The sequence below is a fragment of the Homo sapiens genome, chromosome 15 (genome assembly GCF_000001405.40).
Source record: "Homo sapiens chromosome 15, GRCh38.p14 Primary Assembly".
Classification (NCBI taxonomy): domain Eukaryota; kingdom Metazoa; phylum Chordata; class Mammalia; order Primates; family Hominidae; genus Homo; species Homo sapiens.
The window spans coordinates 61,549,961-61,569,413 of record NC_000015.10 but is presented as its reverse complement, the minus strand read 5'-3'; the positions used below and the strand labels follow the sequence as shown (position 1 = coordinate 61,569,413).

The window sequence follows — 19,453 nt, the reverse complement described above, 5'->3', positions numbered from 1 at the left end:
GTAATCTATTGCTATAGATTTGCTCAGTAATGTATTCCCTATATGTTTTACGGGACATGAATCTGATCTCTGAGAGTCTAAATTGGGATTAGTAAATCTATCATAACAAGGATACTAGATTGTTATTATAACATAAAGCTTTTTACTTCGAAGTTTATAATAAATGTCTGTTTTTTTTTAATTTGCTAAAAATAGGGGCCCTGTTTAATACGTAAAGAACCCCCTTCCTGAGTCCTTCTTTTTCTATCACCAACCACTGCTCATCTGTCAGTTCATTTTTCTGCTGCTTTTAGCTCATGCTCAATAAATGATACTCATATTTTCATGTTAAATGCTATGTTCTTTTTTAATTTTATTTTTTATTTTTTTGGTTTTATGGAGTGTTATGAAAAACTGCTCACTTTAAGAAATTGACAGGTCCATTAACAGAGAGCTTTATGTCTGGGAGTCCAAGCAGTTAGGCCTTCTGGATGTTCAGGAAGTGGAGGGTGTCAGACCAGTCACTTTTATTGCAGACTAAAATGATGGCCGCAAGGAGATGAGCTCACATTATCACTTTATATAAATCACCCAGCCTGTCTTTCATTTCTTGCCTTCCCTTAGAAGTTGGAAAGCTCAGAGGTATTACACTTCAAATTAAGAAAAGAATAGAAATCTTATGATCCTGGGTCCAGCCCAAAGTTCATCCACTCTAGCTGTGTTTATGGTACCAAGGAACAGATAGTAAGACGTGGATATTCCCTTTGGTAAAAGGAATACATATGTCCCCCAAATAAATGAGCATGGGTCTTGTATCCAGAAAGATGTGGTTATAAATTTCAGCCTTGCTGTTGACTAGCAGTGTGACCATGGTTAAAGGGCTTAACCCTTCTAACCTTTTTAAACCTATAACATGGTGATAGTAATGACTATTCCTAGTTATTTTTCTGATGGAAAAGGTAGAGATGGTTGCAATCCTGATTTCCTCATTAGCTTAAAAAGTTTGTTGATGATCAACAGTGGGAGCATTTCAGGAAAATGTATGTTGATATGTTTCTACCGTAGCCCTAAGTGGACTTCTACCCTGGTAACCTGCAAACAGAGTGAGTTTCTTCTCTGGTTGGAGACCCAGAATAAATGTAGCTTCAGACCCCTTTCCCCCTCAGGCATCATATTTGAGCCTTTGGAGTCTTACTCCTCTAATAGCAAGAAGAGGTACAAAGATAAAGCAGAGGAATGGAGCACCCTCCTCCATTGCTAGAGACTAGAGCAAGACTGGCCTAACTCATCTCCCTAGATCCCTAGGCCCCTTTCGCCTGACCCACCTGGTCCTGCCAAGCTGGAAAAGTACCAAAGGTGAGGCAGCCCCAGGCCCATCTCATGGTACCAAGCACGTGGATCAAACCCTTCCACTCAACAATTTCAAGAAGCCTAGAGACTCCAAGGGAACCAGGAGTAGGAGAGGCCGAGGGAATGAGCCACACCATTGAAAAGCCACCAATTACTGTGGTCCAACTATATGTTTTTCTTTCTGTGGGTTTAGAGAGAAGTTTCTCAATGATATAGTTTGGTTGTTTGTCCCCTCCAAATCTCATGTTGAAATGTGATTCCCACAGTTAGAGGTGGGGCCTGGTGGGTGGTGTTTTTGTCATTGGGGGTGGATCCCTCATGAATGGCTTGGTGCCCTCCCTGCAATATTGAGTGAGTTCTCGCACTACGAGTTCACATGAGAGCTGGTTGTTTTAAAGGGCATGGCATCTCTCTTGCCCCCTCTTTTGCCATGTGACATGCCTGGTCCCCTTCATCTTCTTCCATAAGGAAAAGCTTCCTCATCAAAAGCTGAACAGATGTTGGTGCCATGCTTGTATGACTGCAGAACTGTGAGCCAAATAAACCTTTTTTCTTTATAAATTACCCAGTCTCAGGTATTCCTTTACAGCAATGCAAAATGGACTAACACACTCAACCTCAGCACTGTGGGCATTTGGGGCTGGATAAATGCTATGGGGGCCTGTCCTATGCATGATAGGCTTTTTAGCAGCATCCCTGGCCTCTACTTATGCCAGTAGCACCCCACTCCCCGTTTTGACAAGCAAACATGTCTCCAGATATTGCTAAGTGTCTTCTGGGGGAAACATTACTCCCTGTTGAGAATGACTAAGTTAGAGGAAAGAAGGGATGTTGTAATCTCTCTGAAGCTTTAAATAAGTCACTGATGTCTATACAGCAGGACTAAATGCAATAAGAAAATTGTCCTCCACAGTGCTTGGAATGTAGATGGTGCTCAATACATTTACCTCCTTTTTATTCTTCTTTCCCTGTAGTGGATACTGTGGTGTGTCACTCGGATCCTCACTTGAGGACTGAGGTACCCATTTCCCCAACTCCTGGGAGCATTGGCTGCTGACAGCTCACAGCTTAGTCTCTTTCAGGATTCTGTAGCCCTACATTACCAGTCACTGGATACTGACTGCTCCCTAAGAAGGCATGTGACTTGAATGAGGCAGCAGCACCCTTTGGCAGAGGTAAAATTATAAAATTAGGAAGAAGATTGATACGAACAGATATCAGTATCTGCCAAAGGGTGCTGCCTCGTTCAAGTCACCTGCCTTCTTCAGGAGCAGCCAGTATCCAATGGCTAGTAATATAGGGATACAGAGTCCTGACCCCTGTCTTCCACTGAGGACGTCTCTGAAGAGCTATCCCAGCTTCATAGCTCCTTGTGGGAATCAGCTGAGACCTTTGTTGTGACTGAATTGGGTTCACCTTCCCCCTTGCCCAGTCCTGCTTCCTCATGCCTTGCAGGTGTGATTCCTACGAGCACTCTTCAGTAAACGTCCCACCCACAAATCTCTGCCTCAGACTGTTTCCCAGATAACTCAACTTAAGACACACCTCTTTCATCCCAAACTTTATGAGAATCTCAGTTTTTAAGTGAGATAATATAAGACAAATGCTGAATACTATAGTAACTGTGCAGTATTTATATATTAGCTATTATAATCAATGATTTGTATCCATTGAAATTATATGTATCTTATATTTAAATTATAGATATCTTAGACTTTATCTCTCCTGGTGGATCATATGTTTCTGAGGCAACTATCCTTAGCAATAAATTGTGTATAATTTCCCCAGATATGGTTTGAATCTGTGTCCCTGCCAAATCTCAGGTCTAATTATAATCCCCGGTGTTGTAGAAGGGGCCTGGTGGGAGGTGATTGGATCATGGGGGCAGGGTTCTCATGAATGGTTTAGCACCATGCACCTTTGGTACTGTATAGTGAGTGAGTTCTCAGGAGATCTGCTTGTTTAAAAGTGTGTAGCACCTCCCCACTCTGTCTCTTCCTCCTGCTCCAGCCATGTCAAGTACTGGCTCCCCTTTCACCTTCCACCATGATTGTAAGTTTCCTGAGTCCTCTCCAGAAGTCAAGCAGATGCTTCATCTACAGCTTGTGGAACCATGAGCCAATGAAACCTCCTTTCCTTATAAATTACCCAGTCTCTGGTATTTCTTTATAACAGTATGAGAATGAATGAATACACCCCCATCTCCCAAATTATAGCTTTCAAGATGAATGGAGGCTAGTTATTTATCATATGAATTCTGGCAAACTTATCTGTTCTTACCAATATTCTTCCTAATTTTGTAAGCTTCAGTCATGGGTGGTCACCCCCTTACACTATGTCTCCAGTGAGTGCATTGAGACCTACTCCTGAGTGATCAGAGTAGGATGGAGAAGGGAGGGTTTTAGGCCCTGTTCTCACTCCAGATTATCATAAATTTCTATTTGTGCTACTTGTACAACTTGTGAATAAACTATACCTTGTGGATAAACAAGTTTTATCACTCTTTCCAGATCAGAAGTTCTTGAGAGGCAGAGTTCTGTATATTTCATCTTTTTACCTCTTTCCTCCTCTCCATCTCCACCCCCAACACTTTGCACCACAGGCTTTCAGCAGACATGGACTAAGAATGATTGAGGGAGCAGGGTGTAGGGCATGGAAGGCAGGGAAGGATATTGTTTTCAGAGGAACGTTCAGTTGAGTAGCAAAACAAAGTTTCTTTTGCTGGAAAATGTGAACCACAGGGTTCTCAGTGAGCAGACAGGATGCATGAGACACATAGCAGAAATAAGGAAATCTTCCTGGAAGACAATAATGGAAATAAATTCAGGTAATAATTACTGAGTTCTTACTGCATGCCAGAGCCTTTTCTCTGACTTATCTTTTCTAATCATTTTCTAATGTTCTACTAAGGATGGACAGTCGTTATCCCCATTTTTCAGATAAGGACACTGAAGCACAGAGAATTGTCCAAACCAGAACGGCAGAATTCAAGCCCAGATGTGCTCAATTTCAGAGACTTCTCTAATGTAAAATATCTCATGGCCAAAACCATGTTACATGAAATCTTATGCAACAGAATATAAAAATCTTACGCAATTTTAAGATAAAACATGAGACAGCAAAAAATTATGCTGGGTAGGAACAAGTCACTTTGTTACCTTTTCTGGACCCCAGTTCCCTGTCCTTTTTAGAGGAAAATCCATTTTCTCTGATCTTGGTTTCCATGGGGAGCAATTTTTCCTATACATACTTGCAGCCCCTCTTCTCTGCTTTGTCACACACACCTGGGGAGGTGGAGTGGGCATCTCAACTTGGTAAATGTGGAAAGAGTCACTAAGCATGTTCAGCATGGCAACTCCTTTGTTCTTTCTCTTGAGAGTGCCCTCCTCCTTTCTAGAGAGTAACTGAGGTCCCTTACGCCTCCATATGCAATTCCTTTCTGGGCAGGCAGTCATGTCTTGAAACCTTCCTACTTCAGGGATTCAGTTAGCTGGTCTGATGGACTCTCACCCTAAGCCAGAGGCTCTTGCTTAGTGTCTGTGATAAAAGAGGTGATATTTGGCTTCCACCTTGATGCTTCTGTTTTTCTCAAATTGTTCAGTTTAGAACTGGGCTAGAAGAAGGTGATTATTTATTGGAGGCTCCCCTGGAGGCCTTAACATTCCTTACTCAGGAAGATCTGGTAAAAACTTGAGATGTGCTGGTCTATGTATTGAACTTGCATTCCTATCTGCTCAGCCCCAGACTGGGAGTTCCTCCAGATCAGGGAGTCTATTCCTCTCTAATTCCTCTTTCTCCCTCACTATCTGCCTTTTGCCAGTGTCTACAGAAAGGAGCTAAATAAGAATTTTATTATCTACACATCTTAGGTTTCTTGGGTATAGAAAAGCAGGCTTAATACCATGCAAATCTTCTCTTCAGAGATTATCTGGTTGTTTCAAAAATGAAATTAATAAAAACGACATATGAAATTGACCATTTTCCTAGAGCACATGTGGTAAAGTTTTTGTTGTAACTGACAAACCAGGTGCAGAATATTCCATGTATAATTTAGACCCCTTCCCTGTGGGCTGCTCTGCTGGTTTTGTATATAACTTCAGTTATCATTGCCATTAAGAAAAGATATTTTAGGGACAAACTCATTTTTTGAATAGATTGTTATCTCAAATTAAAAAAGATTACGGGAACTGGCAATCAATGCAGCATCTAATTGCTATTTCTCCAATTAAAAATTAATATACAGAAAGAGCTGCCTGGAACCAATTGGTCTTTTGATAATTTTGAAATAAGGAAAAAATAACATTTACAAGCAGAGGGCTTGGGTGAGTACAGGAAGGGTTTGTGGCGCCCGGTCTCCTTTGCAGCAAAGGCTGTGGGAACAAATGTGTTTCTGCCCTTGTGCCTATGGCCGCCACACCCAGGGTGATTGGAAACAAAGGAACGCTGAGCTTATGTCGCATTGTTCCTCCTCTGTTAAAGATTTATGTATAAAATCACTGTATTTTGTGATGTACTTAAGAATAGATGGCAGGTGTCATTTTCGTACAGTGCATGTCATCTAATTGAGGCGGTGGAAAATGTGTGTGACGGTGTTTGTGCTAAAAATGTTCCTCTGTTCTTTGAGGATGTCAGCGACGCCGTCCCAGCTCCTTCTCTTCTGCAGAACTTCATTTGCTAAGCAGTGTTTGAATAGATGGGGACCAAGGAAAATGAAATCAAAGAAAGCCTCTTATGTCTTGAAGACAGGACATCCTTCCACTTGGTTCAGAATAAGCCCCTTTAATCTGAAATAGTCATATTTTGCATTTCGAGTGTAATAGGCACTTGGTTTTAAGCTGGAACAAATTATTATGCTGTGTGTGTATACATACATACATATATACATATGTAATATGTATATATTAAATAAAATGGGCAAAAAAGCTCATGTATCCAGCAATCTGGTCCGCTCCCAGTGAAGAAGGTGGGTTTCACTGAGAAAGGAGCAGGTCTCTATTCAATGAATCATGGTTGTTCCTGGAACCTCACAGATTCCACACCTGGGATACAGGATACTACTTCAGGCTCTCACATCTGCAGAACTGGAGAAGGTGCAGAGAAAGAGCATGGGAACCATTCAAGGGATGGTAGGCTGACTAGAAAGGAGGAAGCTTTGGAGTGGAAAGACTGAAGCAGAGAAGGGATGCATCAACTGCCTGCAGATGCGTGAAAGGATTGGTGCAGATGAGCGTGAACCTGCCCGGCAAAGCCCAACCATGCAAACCCTGGGCACTGTCTGAGAAACTCGTGAAGAGAGCTGTAGGGATCAGAAGGGAAATAACTCAGAGGAGACTGAGAGGCAGGTTCAGAACCAAGGCAAGGAAAGCTTCTTAGAATATAGGCATCACCCATGTGGGGCTCCTTGTCCACAGGTGAGGTAAAACACCAAACCAATGATTCTCATCAAATATGGATGATGAATCTCTTATGTGATATCAAGGAAGACACGAGAGCCCTCTCACAATTCCTTATTTTGTGCTGCTTTCATCTTTGCTCTGAGTCTCACTGAGCAGCCCCTCTTGGTCCTCAGTCATCTAAGCCTTAGCCTGGGGAGACTCCCAGGCCCCTTTCCTCCCTCCCACCCAACCCTCAAGGCCTTCCATTGCTGACTCCTAAGTACCTCTCTAGTCTACTCTCTGGCTTTTAGCCAACAGAACCACAGCTTTACAAATGCTCCAACCCTATGGAGACCCATTAAATCAGAATCAAGGGGCTGGGGGTGAGGCTGAAGCATTGGTATTTTTAAAAACTCCCCTGCATATGAAATTCTGGGTTAAAAATTATTTTCTTGAAGAATGTTGAATATTGGCCCCCACTGTCTTCTGGCTTGTAAGGTATCTGCAGAGAGATCTGCTGTTAGCCTGATGGGTGATTCCTCAAGGATCTGGAACCAGAAATACTATTAGACCCAGCAACCCTATTACTGGGTATATGCCCAAAGGATTATAAATCATTCTACTATAAAGACACATGAATATGTATGCTTATTGCAGCATTATTCATAATAGCAAAGACTTGGAACCAACCCAAATGCCCATCAGTGATAGAATAGATAAAGAAAATGTGGCATGTATATAACATGGAAGACTACGCATCCATAAAAAAGGATGAGTTCCTGTCCTCTGCAGGGACATGGATGAGGCTGGAAACCATCATTCTCAGCAAACTAATACAGGAACAGAAAACCAAACACCACATATTCTCACTCATAAGTGAGAGTTGAACAGTGGGAACACGTGGACACAGGGAAGGGAACATTACACACTGGGGCCTGTTTGGGGGTGGGGCGCAAGGGGAGGGAGAGCATTACGACAAATACCTAATGCATGCGGGGCTTAAAACCTAGATGATGGGTTGATGAGTGCAGCAAACCACCATGATACATGTATACCTATGTAACCTGCATGTTCTGCACATGCATCCCAGAACTTAAATTTGAAAACAAAAAAAACATTCTGAGCTGAGGGAAGAGTAAGTGAAGAGACTTTAAGCAGGAATGAGCTTAGATATCAGAGGAACAAAAAAGAGACCATGCCAGTGCAGCTGGAACTTAAAGGACCAAAGAAACCATGGGAATTGAAATTGAAGAGAGAGGAGGGGGCTAGACCAAGCTGGGCCTCATAGGCCTAGGTACAGCATTTGAATTTTATTCCAAACGCAATGAGAAGCTAGTGGAAGGGAGAGATAGGATCTGGGTTGTGTCAACAAAACCACTCTGGCTGCTCTGTGGCAGGCAAGAGTGATACCAGGGAGAAGGATTGGAAGACCGTTGCAGGAGTCCAGATGAGAGATCATAGTGACCACATTAAACAAACAAAAAAAACAAAAAAAACAACTCTGCACTGACCAACTAAATTATGTTTTCTTCCTCACACAAACCTAGGTTCTTCTACCTCTGTCTTGTATCATGCACTTCTTTCTTGTGAAGTGCCCGAATTTTCCATAACTCTGTATAAAGTACCTATGACTTTCTAAGGCTGGGTTCCATTCTCCAAAGTTTTCCCAGCCCCTGCTCCAACACTTTGGAAGACATTACTCCTTCTCAAAACTCGCTTAACATTTACTTGTACTTCTCTTACAGTGCTTACCACTTTGGACCTAGAATGTTAACATGGTTGTGCCTATCTCATTTCTCTTTGATGAATTTAAGTTTCTTGGAGGTGGGTCTTTAGGAATTTATTTGGTAGCCCTTAGTGCCAAAAAGTAAAGTGGTTTCAATATGGCAAACTCATGGTTTTAAGATCTTTATAGGTACTTGATCCATTACTTTTCATAACTTTCTTATGCTATAGGCACTATTTTATTGCATTAGCATCCTCATTTACAGATAAAGAAACAGATAAAGAAGTACAGAGAAGCTAAGCCAAGATTACAGTTAGTATGTGGTTGAGTCAAGATTTGAACTCAGTCTGGCCCACATGAACAGCTATACTATGCTGCCTTTCAAACCATTGAGTAAGTGATTAAGGATCGTGAGTTAGTACAGTGTGCCAAGGAAATACTTATACTTCAGCAGGATCCTTCTGATGACCAGGGCATCAGTCCAAAGCAGTGATTCTAGGGACAATAGGTTGACAGCAGGGCTGAGCTGGGGCCTCATCAGTGTTCGTAGTTCTAAGCCCCAAGGGAACCTACCTGAACTTCTGTCCATCCCCTTCTCTCCTGGCCTCAGAGCCTGGATTTTCCCCCTCTAAAAGAAATCAGCCTATGGGAATAAGAGCCAGCATCCTCCCACCTGGAGGTAAGAAAGATCATAGCATCAAGCGTGAGTGTGGGGCCAGGAAACTGTGTGTGTTTGCGGGGTATGAGTAGTTTCCACTGCTGCTTCTATATAACTTTTAAAAATTGAGAATAGGTTTTAGTACCTCTGTGCCTGTGGACTCATACATTTCAAATACATATGAAATATGTGTTGATTGACTATTTATGTTATTGACAAGGCTTCTGGTCAATGATAGTTTATTCATGGTTAAGTGTTGGATTTTTGAAGGCACAGCAGTGTGGTGCCCCTAACCCCCACATTGTTCACGGGTGACCTGTAGGCTATTCTTACAACAAAGCTAGAGAAAAGAAAATGTTATTAAGAAAACCATAAGAGAAAGAAAATATATTTACTATTCATTAAGTGGAAGTGGATCATCATAAAGATCATCATCCTCATCATCTTCACATTGAGTAGGCTGAGGAGGAGGAGAAAGAGGAGAGGTTGGTCTTACTGTCTCAGGTGTGCCAGAGATGGAAGAGGTGGAAAAGAGATAGAAGGGGAGGCAGGAGAGGCAGGCAAATAGGTGGAACTTTTATTGAAATAAAAGAAAAAGTGTAAGCAAACCCACACGGTATGAACCTGTGTTGTGTAAGGGTCAACTGCATCTAGAATGCCTGCATCGTGCTCAAAGAGATGGTGGCTCTTGTGACTACTTACTGTTCTATAGCCTCTGGAAGCTGGAGTAGGACTTTAATGAGTAGCTCCAGGGATGAGGCAAGCAGGTAGAGAGTCCCGATGCTGCCACTGTGATCAGATTCCTTCCCTTTAGCCTTCTTGTTGAGGCCAAGTTCAGATGCAGTACCTGAGGCTGGCCTGGCTGGGAGCACTTATCCAGGTTATAGGCATTCCTGGTGTCACTTGCTCCTGAGAACTGGCAGCTGGATAAGGATGCCTCAGTTAGAAGGCAGAAAGTCCAAATGTTTCTGCATCCTTCTCCATCTTTGATTTTTCTGAACATCCTGAGGTTAACCCACATCTGTCCCTGGTTACTGATAGTTGTGTGTGTACTCTCTCATGCCGAATAATGTGACTTGTTGGCTGAAAGTTGTATCCTGACCCTTCTCTGTTCTTTGGTTTCCCCAAAATGTCTGCTTGGTGGTTCATCTCCAAAACCTGAGATCCACACTGAGACTTGTTCCAGTAGTGGGTTGTGAGATTCTTTTTTGGCTTTCAGTCAGTTGTTTATTTTAAAAAGCCAGCAAAAAGCACCCCCTATAGACACCACTTCCCAAACCAGCTCCTATTGAACAAAGAAAGCTGAATACTGGGAAAATTACTTGTGCCTGTGTTGCAGATATAGAAACTCGTGGAACCTTGTGGGACATTCTGTTCCACTAACAGGATTCCAGAACAGCATTAGGAGGACATCGGCTCATCTGTGTTACTTGCCAGGAGTTTTGGAAATTGAGCAATCATTAGCTAGTCTGTTTTATATTTGATCCTTAAAATCCACATTTGATGCTTGGGAACATTGGAAGTGGAATTTCTTCTCTCAAGCCAGATTGGATTTGGATAATTTCACCTTGCCTATTTAAATCTCCTCTGATTTCACCTTTGGAAAAGAAAGAGACTTGGATTTCTTTGGACAGAAAACTGAGTTGTGTATTTACCCTGTCTTGTTGTCCCATGATCTGGGTTGAGATTACTTATTCAAGTGGGAGATTCTGAGTCAGACTAAGGAGCAAACTCCTCATCTTCACTCCCCTGGTATAAAAGAGAAACAGTCGGAAAAAACTCTGCATAGTGGCAAAGCTTTAGCAAGCAATGTCACTAACTTCTCCAGCGGCAAACTTAGAGGTAAATTGTGCTGCAGCAAGCCAAAAGTTAATTTCATCCAGAAGAGCAAGATAAATTAAAAGGCAAATTGCTTGCCTGCTCCTCCTTGCTCTTCCAGTATCTGTCTGAGACTGGCCCTTGAGGTTGTTGCATAATAAATCTTTCAGGCTCACCTCCTATTTCTAAGAATTTTTAAGTTGTGGCTGGCTCCCGCTAGGTTATTTTAGCATTGAGAAGCCACATGATGGCATGGAAGGGACAGAAGTGACGTGCTCTAAGCTCTCACTTCCAGCCCTGTTTCTACCACCTCTATTTGCTTAGAGATTTAGCTGCCATTCTAGCCTGGTACCTGATCTTGCCACCTTGGCACAGATAGTCTCATGAGATTTTCTTGGAGCCATTGACTGTAGGGAAGGTTAGCATTTTAAAATGCTATTGTGACAATCATCTACAATCTTTCCATAAGTGTTTTTGCCATCTGACAGGCAGGAGTCTCAGTAATTCCTCCAGTGCCATCTACCTTGCTTTAAGGAGCTATTCTGGTGGATAATGCTGCGTAAGTGAAGACACTCTATTTGATCAGAAGGTCCCCTGTCCTAAGGAGAGCAGCACAGTTTCGGAGAAAGCCCAGGTCTTTTTCAGATGTACTCTGCCACTCATGCAGGAAGTGTTTAGTAAGCTCTTTCAGGGAGCCCACCATGTAGAAGTCCAAACCCATAGCTTCCACCTCCAAAGAGCTTATGACGGAATTGCTCATTCTACCTTGGGCTTCGGTTTCAGCTCCAGGTTGAGTTCCAGGGAAATTGGAATGAAATGGATACAGTAGTAAGACTCCTGGACTAGCAGCTTGATCCTCTCTCAGCCACTCTCTAGACTGTGCCCAGACTTAACCTGACTACCAATCTAACCACCTAACTCTGGACCTCCCTGTCTTCGGTGGAAAGCAAGGAAATGGTCCTCTGGTGCAAACAGTCTGCACTCTGTGTTGACACCCATCAATATAGTTCTCATTTCCTTTACCTAGTTTTGGGGGGAGGTCTGTGCCTCAAGCCTTCTACTGTTGAGCATCCACGCTCCCTAATTCTCATGGTATCTTCAGTCCTGTGCTTCTGAGGCTTTACACTGTTGGCTAAAGATGTAAGGAAGGGGCTCAGTGTTGGTGAAGTTACTTCAGGGAGAGCAGCTCAACTTCTGTTTTACATGCTGGGCTTCACCTGAGATTTTGTTTGAGGAAAGGGCTCTTCAAACAGTTAAGGAATCTAAAGATCTCTAGCATGTGCTGGACTCATTCTTCATTTGGACGCGTTGCTCTTGTCATCAGCATCCTCTGCTTGTCACGACAGGTAGGTGGCATTTTCCAGGGTCTACTTTGGTTTTCTGCTCCTCTCCTGTTCTCCTTGGGTGAGTTTCCACCATGGGGTTTGAAACAACTACTTCCCAGACATCTCCACCCAGATAGAAAACTCAATTTATCCAAAATGGAATAATGCTCCTCCAGGCTGTCTTAGTTCATTAGAACGGCTATAAGAAAACCCCTTAGACTAGGTAACTTATAAATAACAAAAATTTGTTTCTGACAGTTCTGGATGCTACGAAGCCTAAGTTCAAAGCATCAGAAGATTTGGTGTCTGATGAGGGCAGGTTTCTCATAGTTGGCGGGAGGGGCAAACAAACTGCTTCAGGCCACTTTTATGAGGGCACTAATTCCATTCACAAGGGCTCTGCCTGCATGACCTAGCCACCTCCCAAAGGCTCCACTTCTTAATATCATCACACTGGGGATTAGGTTTCAACCCATGAATTTGGAGGTGGGGGGAACAAATATTTAGACCATAGCACTTACCTCCATCCTTAAGTCTCTTCTGTAGTCTCTCCATCTCGTTGGTAGCATCATCAACCACAAAGCCTCCTAATTTAGAAACTTGAGACTTATCCAACTTTCAGTTTCTCCTTCTTCCAGGGTACCACATAGGTTGGTTGCATTTCTCTGATATCTCTTCGGTGAATCATCTTCTTCCTGTTCCGTCTGCCATAGGCTTTAGTTCAGGCTCTGGCATTCCCTAAGCTGACAAAGTTATCTTTCTAAAATAGAAAGATAATTTAGTCTGTCTTTTGCTTAGAACCCTTGCCCTGGCAACCCCATTACCGACTAGTGAGGTCTGAACTCGTTGGCATGGCAGACACAGTTCCTTATGATCTGGCCTCTGCTTGCTGCTTTCATATTCCTCTTCTACCTTGCACCTGATAGTCCTACAATATCTAAATTCTTGTGGTCTCTGAAATGCATCATGCTGTCAACATTCCTGACCCTTTCCCCACATGCATTTCCTCTGTCTGGAATGCCTTTCTGCCCCTGTTTACTTGGGGAATTACTGGTCAGCCTTCAAATAGCAGGCTTGGAAGACAACTTCAAAGACTCTTCACAGACAGAGTTACTCATTTCCCTCCCTCCATAGACTACCTTTGCTGTATCCCTTATGGTGACTTATTATAATTTGTTTGCATACCCACATTCTCTTCCAGGCTGTGAGCTCCTTGAAGCAGGACTACGTCCTTATTATTTTTCTAACCGCAATGCCTGGCACAATGTGTGAGGCATGGTTGATGCTCAGTTAAGCTGACTTCTCACTGAAAGTAGCTAAGTGCCAAATTACCAAATTATAGGGTTTCTTAGTGATAAAGATGTAACTCACTTATTTTATTCTAAGTTGTCAAAACAGCCATATGTTTTAAAGCATCCAGTCATTATTCTGCCTAGCGAGGAATAAAGCAAATGGGAAACCAAAACGATGAAGAAAAGCATTTTGCATAAGGTGCAAATTAAAACACCTAGGTAAATAGTAAGAGAGACACAGTGGGCGATTTTAGTGTTAGTTCCTCAGGAAATATTTGCAGCTAATACTTTTAATTGATATTTTCCTGGAGCTGTGAATGTTCTACTGCGTGGCTGATTTGTTCTCATTTATTTTTACCTTTCAGCTGGCTTCATCTTTGCATAGATTATCTTCTCTGGTTCCATTTTAATTCCAGTTGCTCATGGTGTGCTACCAAAGGGAAGCAGTTGGGGGCCCGTTGGGATTTCATGGCCATTTGATTCAAAAATTTATTCTAGCGAAACCCCTTTCAACTGTGGTGCTTAAAACCTCATGGATAATCAAATGAGATGAAGAAATGGTCCCCTCTGGGAAAACATACTTCAATTTGTAAAATATTTCCCTCAGATGTCTTAGGAGGAAAGGGAATGTTTTCTGAGAATCTCACTGGCAGTGTGATGCGCTTTGTGTTAGAGGCGACCCCCCTTGGAGTCTCTTCAAAGGCCAGGTCAGCACCAAGGCGTTTGAATACTCCTGGTTCCTAGAGCTGTACATGTTTCTGTCTGAGGTCCCTGCCCCCAAGAGAGTCTCTTCCTTGAGGAGTTGGCAAGAAGAGGGAAGCTAGAGGTTAAGAACCTTGCTTTTTCAGGTAAGAGCAGCTCATTTCTTCTTTAAGTGAATGCAGTAGAAGCTGACTTCAGTGAGGCCACCTAAATTTTTAAAAATGTATATAATTGAGTATGACTATTGACCATTTCTTTATCCTATGTGGAGTGTAAATGATGGTTTTTCTGGAGGTTTTGCTGTTATTGATCTGTGTTTTGCAACCTGAGGAAGAATAATGGGCTTGCTGGGAAATGCAACTTCAACATTAATTTCTTAGACCCCTCTTCCAATCAGTTTGCCATGCCTAATCCCTTCTATAGGTTAACCATGAAGCCCCCTGCTGGGTTTCCCAGTGGTCTGGAAAGCCTGTTTCGTGAGCTCTACTGCACTTCATTCAAGGCCACATCTAAGGAGAGTCAGCCAATGGCCACTGAGGAAGAGGCATGAACCACATGTCCAGAGACATGGCTGAAGCTCCTTCCATAGCCACCTTTCAAGAGACTGTGCCTCTCTGCACTGGTGTTTTCTGTTTGTTTGTTTCTTATTTTTCAGTAACAGTCACTGAGGTGTGACTTACATAGCATGAATTTTTTTTATTAGGTGAACAATTTTATGACTTTTGACAATGTAAACAGCCATGCTATTACTACTGCCATCATGGTCTAGAATATTTCTACCACTCCAAAAAGTTCTCTTTTACCTCTTTGTAGTCAATCTCCTCCCACAGTCTCAGCCCCTGGCCATCACCAATCTATTCTTCTTCCAATAGTTTTGCCATTTCCAGAATGTCATGTAAACGGAAGCACATGGTATCTAGACCTTTGAGTCTGGCTTCCTTTACTTAGAAAAATGCTGATATTTATGTTGTTGCATGTATCAGTAGTTTGTTCCTTTTTATTGCTGAGTAGTATTTTATGGTATGGATGTTCCACAATTGGTTTTTCCATTCACCAGTTGAAGGACACTTAGTTTGCTTCCAGTTTTTGGTGATTATGACTAAACTTGTTACATGCATTTGCACATAGATTTTTATATAGGCATAACTATTCATTTCTCATAGGTAGATACCTAGGAGCATAATTGCTGGTCATATGGTAAGTGTATATTTAACTCTATATACAAACTGCTAACTGGTTTTTAAAGTGACCCCTTTGCATTTCCACCAGCAATGTATGAGAATCTCATTTGGTCTGCATCCTTACCAGCATTTGGTATTGTCCTTTAAAGAAAAAATTAGGCCATTAGAGTAATAGGTAGTGCTATCTTGTCATGGTTTTTAATTTGCATACTGCCAATGACTAGTGATGTTTACCATCTTTTCATTTGCTTATTTGCCATCCATAACTCTGGTGTGGTGAAGTGTCCATTCGAATCTTTTGCCTGTTTTTTAACTGGGTAATTTGTTTTCTTATTAGTGAGTTTTGAGTCATCTTTATAGATTGTAAATAGAAGTCCTGTGTCAGATTTGTATATTGCAAATATTTCCTCCCAGTCTGTGGCTTACTTTTTTTTTTTTTTTCATTTTCCTAAAAGTGATTTTTGGAACAGCAGATTCTTAAATTTTGATCATCTCCAATTTGTTGATCTTTTACTTACAGTTCACGGCTAAATCATAAACACACTTGGAAAATGATGGCAGAGTAAGGAATTCAATATTTTTAGAAGAAGAGGAGGAGAAAACATCTGGTTCCTGAAGGCCTTATTTAGTTTTCCACTTTCAGTCACCTCCACTATTAACGTCTCCTAACCATTCTCTTTACTATCCATATCTTTTTCTCACCTTCTCTCTATGCACCTCTACTTCTGCCACTCCCCAGTTTGAGCCTTGCCACGGTTGGCTGAGATCTGAGATGGAAGGAACTCTGCCCTGTAACTTGACTGACACTTTCCCTCCATATTTTTAAGCCATGTTGAATCTGTATCTTCTCCTCTCATGTGCCCCAATGTGAGAAAAGTGAGGTCTGGATTCCACGCATATTTCTAAAGGAATAGCTTATTTGTACCTGTTCCACATAACACTTATTTATGCTGTGGGCATTTCCCCATTGTTCCATTTCACGTACATTCTTCTGCCTAGATTTTTAAAAATCTTCCTAATCCCCTCTGCTTCTTTATCCAGTCTCCCTTCCCATTACTCCATCTTAGTGTAAATCTCTACTATAGCCTCATGACTTGTATTACTATCTGTGAACACACCATACTCTTTCTTGCCCCCTTTGCAGAGGCTGTTTCCCGTGCTTGGGATGGTTTTCCCTGCTTGCACCTTACCAGCCTGGAGAATTATCACTCTTGCTTCAGGACCCCGTGAAGTCTTCCATGTACTGTTGGCCAGATCATTGCCCAACTCCTTCCTGGTCTTCCTCTGTCCTTTATGTTCCCACTGCCCTTTGCACCACCTCTGAGAGCAGTTTTTATTCTGTGGTAATTACTGATCCAGAGACATTCTCACTCCCTCTGGAGTTCTTGAGGACAGGAAATTTGTCAGATTTATCTTTGTCTCAAGTTTAAGGCAAACTCCCTGGCACTTTATACGGGTTTAATGCATTTGTTAAATGAGAAATTTCACCATTGCCTTTTCTCTTACTGTTTCTTTCCCATGAAATACTTCCTGTATCTTTCTTCCGCCAACCCAAATCCCATCTGTCATTCCAGGTCTAGTTTGGAGTCAGACTCTTCCTTGAAGTCTTCCCTGCCCACTCCATATTTCACTCCACTTATCTGCTCAGCTCTTGAAAAGCTCTCAGTATCTGTGTCACTTAGTCTGTCTCTTAATCACACACTGCACTGCCTCCCACTATTTCCTCTGTAGTTTTTCTGCTGTCGTAGCCTGGTTATAAGGTAATGGAGGACAGAAGTTTTACCCTAAGCTTCTTTATATACTAAAAATAACTAGTATAATGTCTCCTTTCCCTACTCCTGACCAATGCTTTCTCAGACCTTCAAAATTGACCGTTACCTTCTCGGCACCATGTTGTATACTCTGCAAACTTCTGTTATACAACCCTAAAACTCCGTTGAACCTAACAATGTACCCATTCATCTTCTCATGACCTGCCATGAACTTTTCCAGGGCAGAGACCCAAGCATACGTTTTGGAGTCGATTGCAGCCATCAAATTTCAGCTTCTCTACTTACTAGTTGAAAGAAGTTTAATTAGTCAGGGTAGTCAACACCAGCTGCTGTAACAACCCCACCATCTCAGTACCTTAATACTCTAACGTTTATTTCCCTATTATGTTACAGTTAAACATGGGTCTGTAGGGCATGGTGGGAGTTTCTGCTCCCCAAAGCCATGCAAAACTCAAGGTCCTTCTATTTTGTGAGACCTCCATCCTCAGCATAGATGATCACTACTAAATAGGAACAGCAAGCATTGATGATAGTGCAGGGGATTTTATTACCTGGCCTGGGAGTGATATATATCACTTCCACTCACATTCCACTGGCCAGAACTCAGTCACATGATCCAAATCTAACAGGAAGTGAACCTGGGATATGTATTCTTCCTATTTCCCCCCCAAAGTAAAATAGGTTTATGTTACATAAAATAGCATCCTATGTAGATGCTATTTTTCTCTATAGAAGTGGAGGAAGTTTCTTAACCTCCTTAAGCTTCCTTATCCTCATTGGCAAAATAGAATTAAATCAGCTAGGATTAGATTTTTGTTTTAATAAAAAGCCTAGGGTTATGTTGCTTAAACAAGCTTAATTTTTTTTTTCACACACACAAAAGGATATTCAGGGTAGGTGGTCCAGCAATTGTTCAGTAGCTCCTCAAAATGATCAAGGACTCTGAATCCTTAAAATTCTCTGGTTAACCATGCCTAGGATAAAGTCATTATCCTCATGGTTCAAAATGGCAGTGAGGGCTCCAGCCATTAGAGTTATGTTCTAAGGAGCAGGAATGAGGAAGAAGGCATAGAAGATTATGAAGCTATTTGAAGCCACAGAAACTCCACGGAAGATTCATATGATTATCTTGCTTCATTTAGTTATAAAGCCACAGTTACGTGTAAGAGTATCTGAAATACATTTGACTAGGCAAAAATATATCCTGCTGGAAATTAAGTTTCTATTTCTAAAAGGAAGGGAAGAATGAATATTGAAATAGGAAGCTAGCATTTATGCGTAAGGAATGAGGATATTTACTTACTGAATTGTTTTAAGGGTCAAATAAGATAGTGTATAAAAATGGTGGCCAGTAAGTTGTTATTACCATTATAAGCACAGTTATTGTTATTTGCACGCCTAGGATATACTTGACGAATATTTGAACTTAATATGTCAATAAGGAAGTGTATTGGTCTGAATTTAATTACTGTATTATTTCATTATTTGTAATCATTAAGTATTCATTATTTTATATATTAAAGATTTCTGTTCTTCTAGAGAGGTCCTTATTAGCTGGTACGTAGTGAGATTATTTTTTCATAGTATCTTGTTGAGCTCAAGGTCACTTGGATGTATGGCAGTAGGGGAGTGGGTTTAAGAAAAAGAATGAGGGAGGGGAAGGAGCAGGGGGCTAAGATTTGGGAAACCTGAACTTTAGTTCTATCTCTATTTGCCATCTATAGGGCCTGGGGAAATTCTTTCCGTCTCTGGAATTTTGACCCCCTCAATTGTAAAGTAGGCTCCCTTCCATAGTCACAAGGAATTATGTATATTATGTGTGTTTCCCTGTTAATCATAGTCTCTTATTTAAAAAAAAATAGAGGCTATGTTTGACTTGCTTCATAGATGTCCAACGCTATAACACATGTATTAAGTCTAGGATATAGGATCCCTGGGTCCTAACCCTGACTCCACCACCAGTAGACTGTAGGAACTTGGGCAAGGTACCTGTCCTTTCTTGTTTTTCACTTTCTCAGCTCTAAAAGGAGGGGTTGGTTTCAATGGTCTCTCAGAATCCTTCCAGCTCTAAATTTCTGACTTTAGATATATGGGCATATAGATATATGCATATATGGTATAGATATATGGGTATGTGATTGGGTATATGATTAGGCATATGGGTATAGCAGCCCATTGCCCTCACCCCACCTTGTCACAGTGATACTGTGATAAAAATGCTGGTGATTTTCTACTGACTGAAGTAATTGTCACTGGCTCTGTGTGCCTCTTACAA

The 19,453-nt window shown here is 41.7% G+C and overlaps 1 long non-coding RNA gene across 2 annotated transcripts in view, besides 1 other annotated feature; it reads left to right on the top strand.

Moving 5' to 3' along the window:
- LOC107984782 (uncharacterized) overlaps positions 1-19,453 on the top strand; it is a 208,325-nt gene that overhangs the window by 145,773 nt on the left and 43,099 nt on the right. The window lies entirely within an intron of this gene.
- Positions 12,249-13,448: an enhancer, noted in NCBI's record as "CDK7 strongly-dependent group 2 enhancer chr15:61848165-61849364 (GRCh37/hg19 assembly coordinates)". NCBI's record gives its function as "activates an origin of replication core promoter dependent on BRD2, BRD4, P300/CBP, MED14 and CDK7 cofactors, with strong dependence on CDK7, by STARR-seq in HCT116 cells {active_cell/tissue: HCT116}" and the evidence as "EXISTENCE:reporter gene assay evidence [ECO:0000049][PMID:35650434]".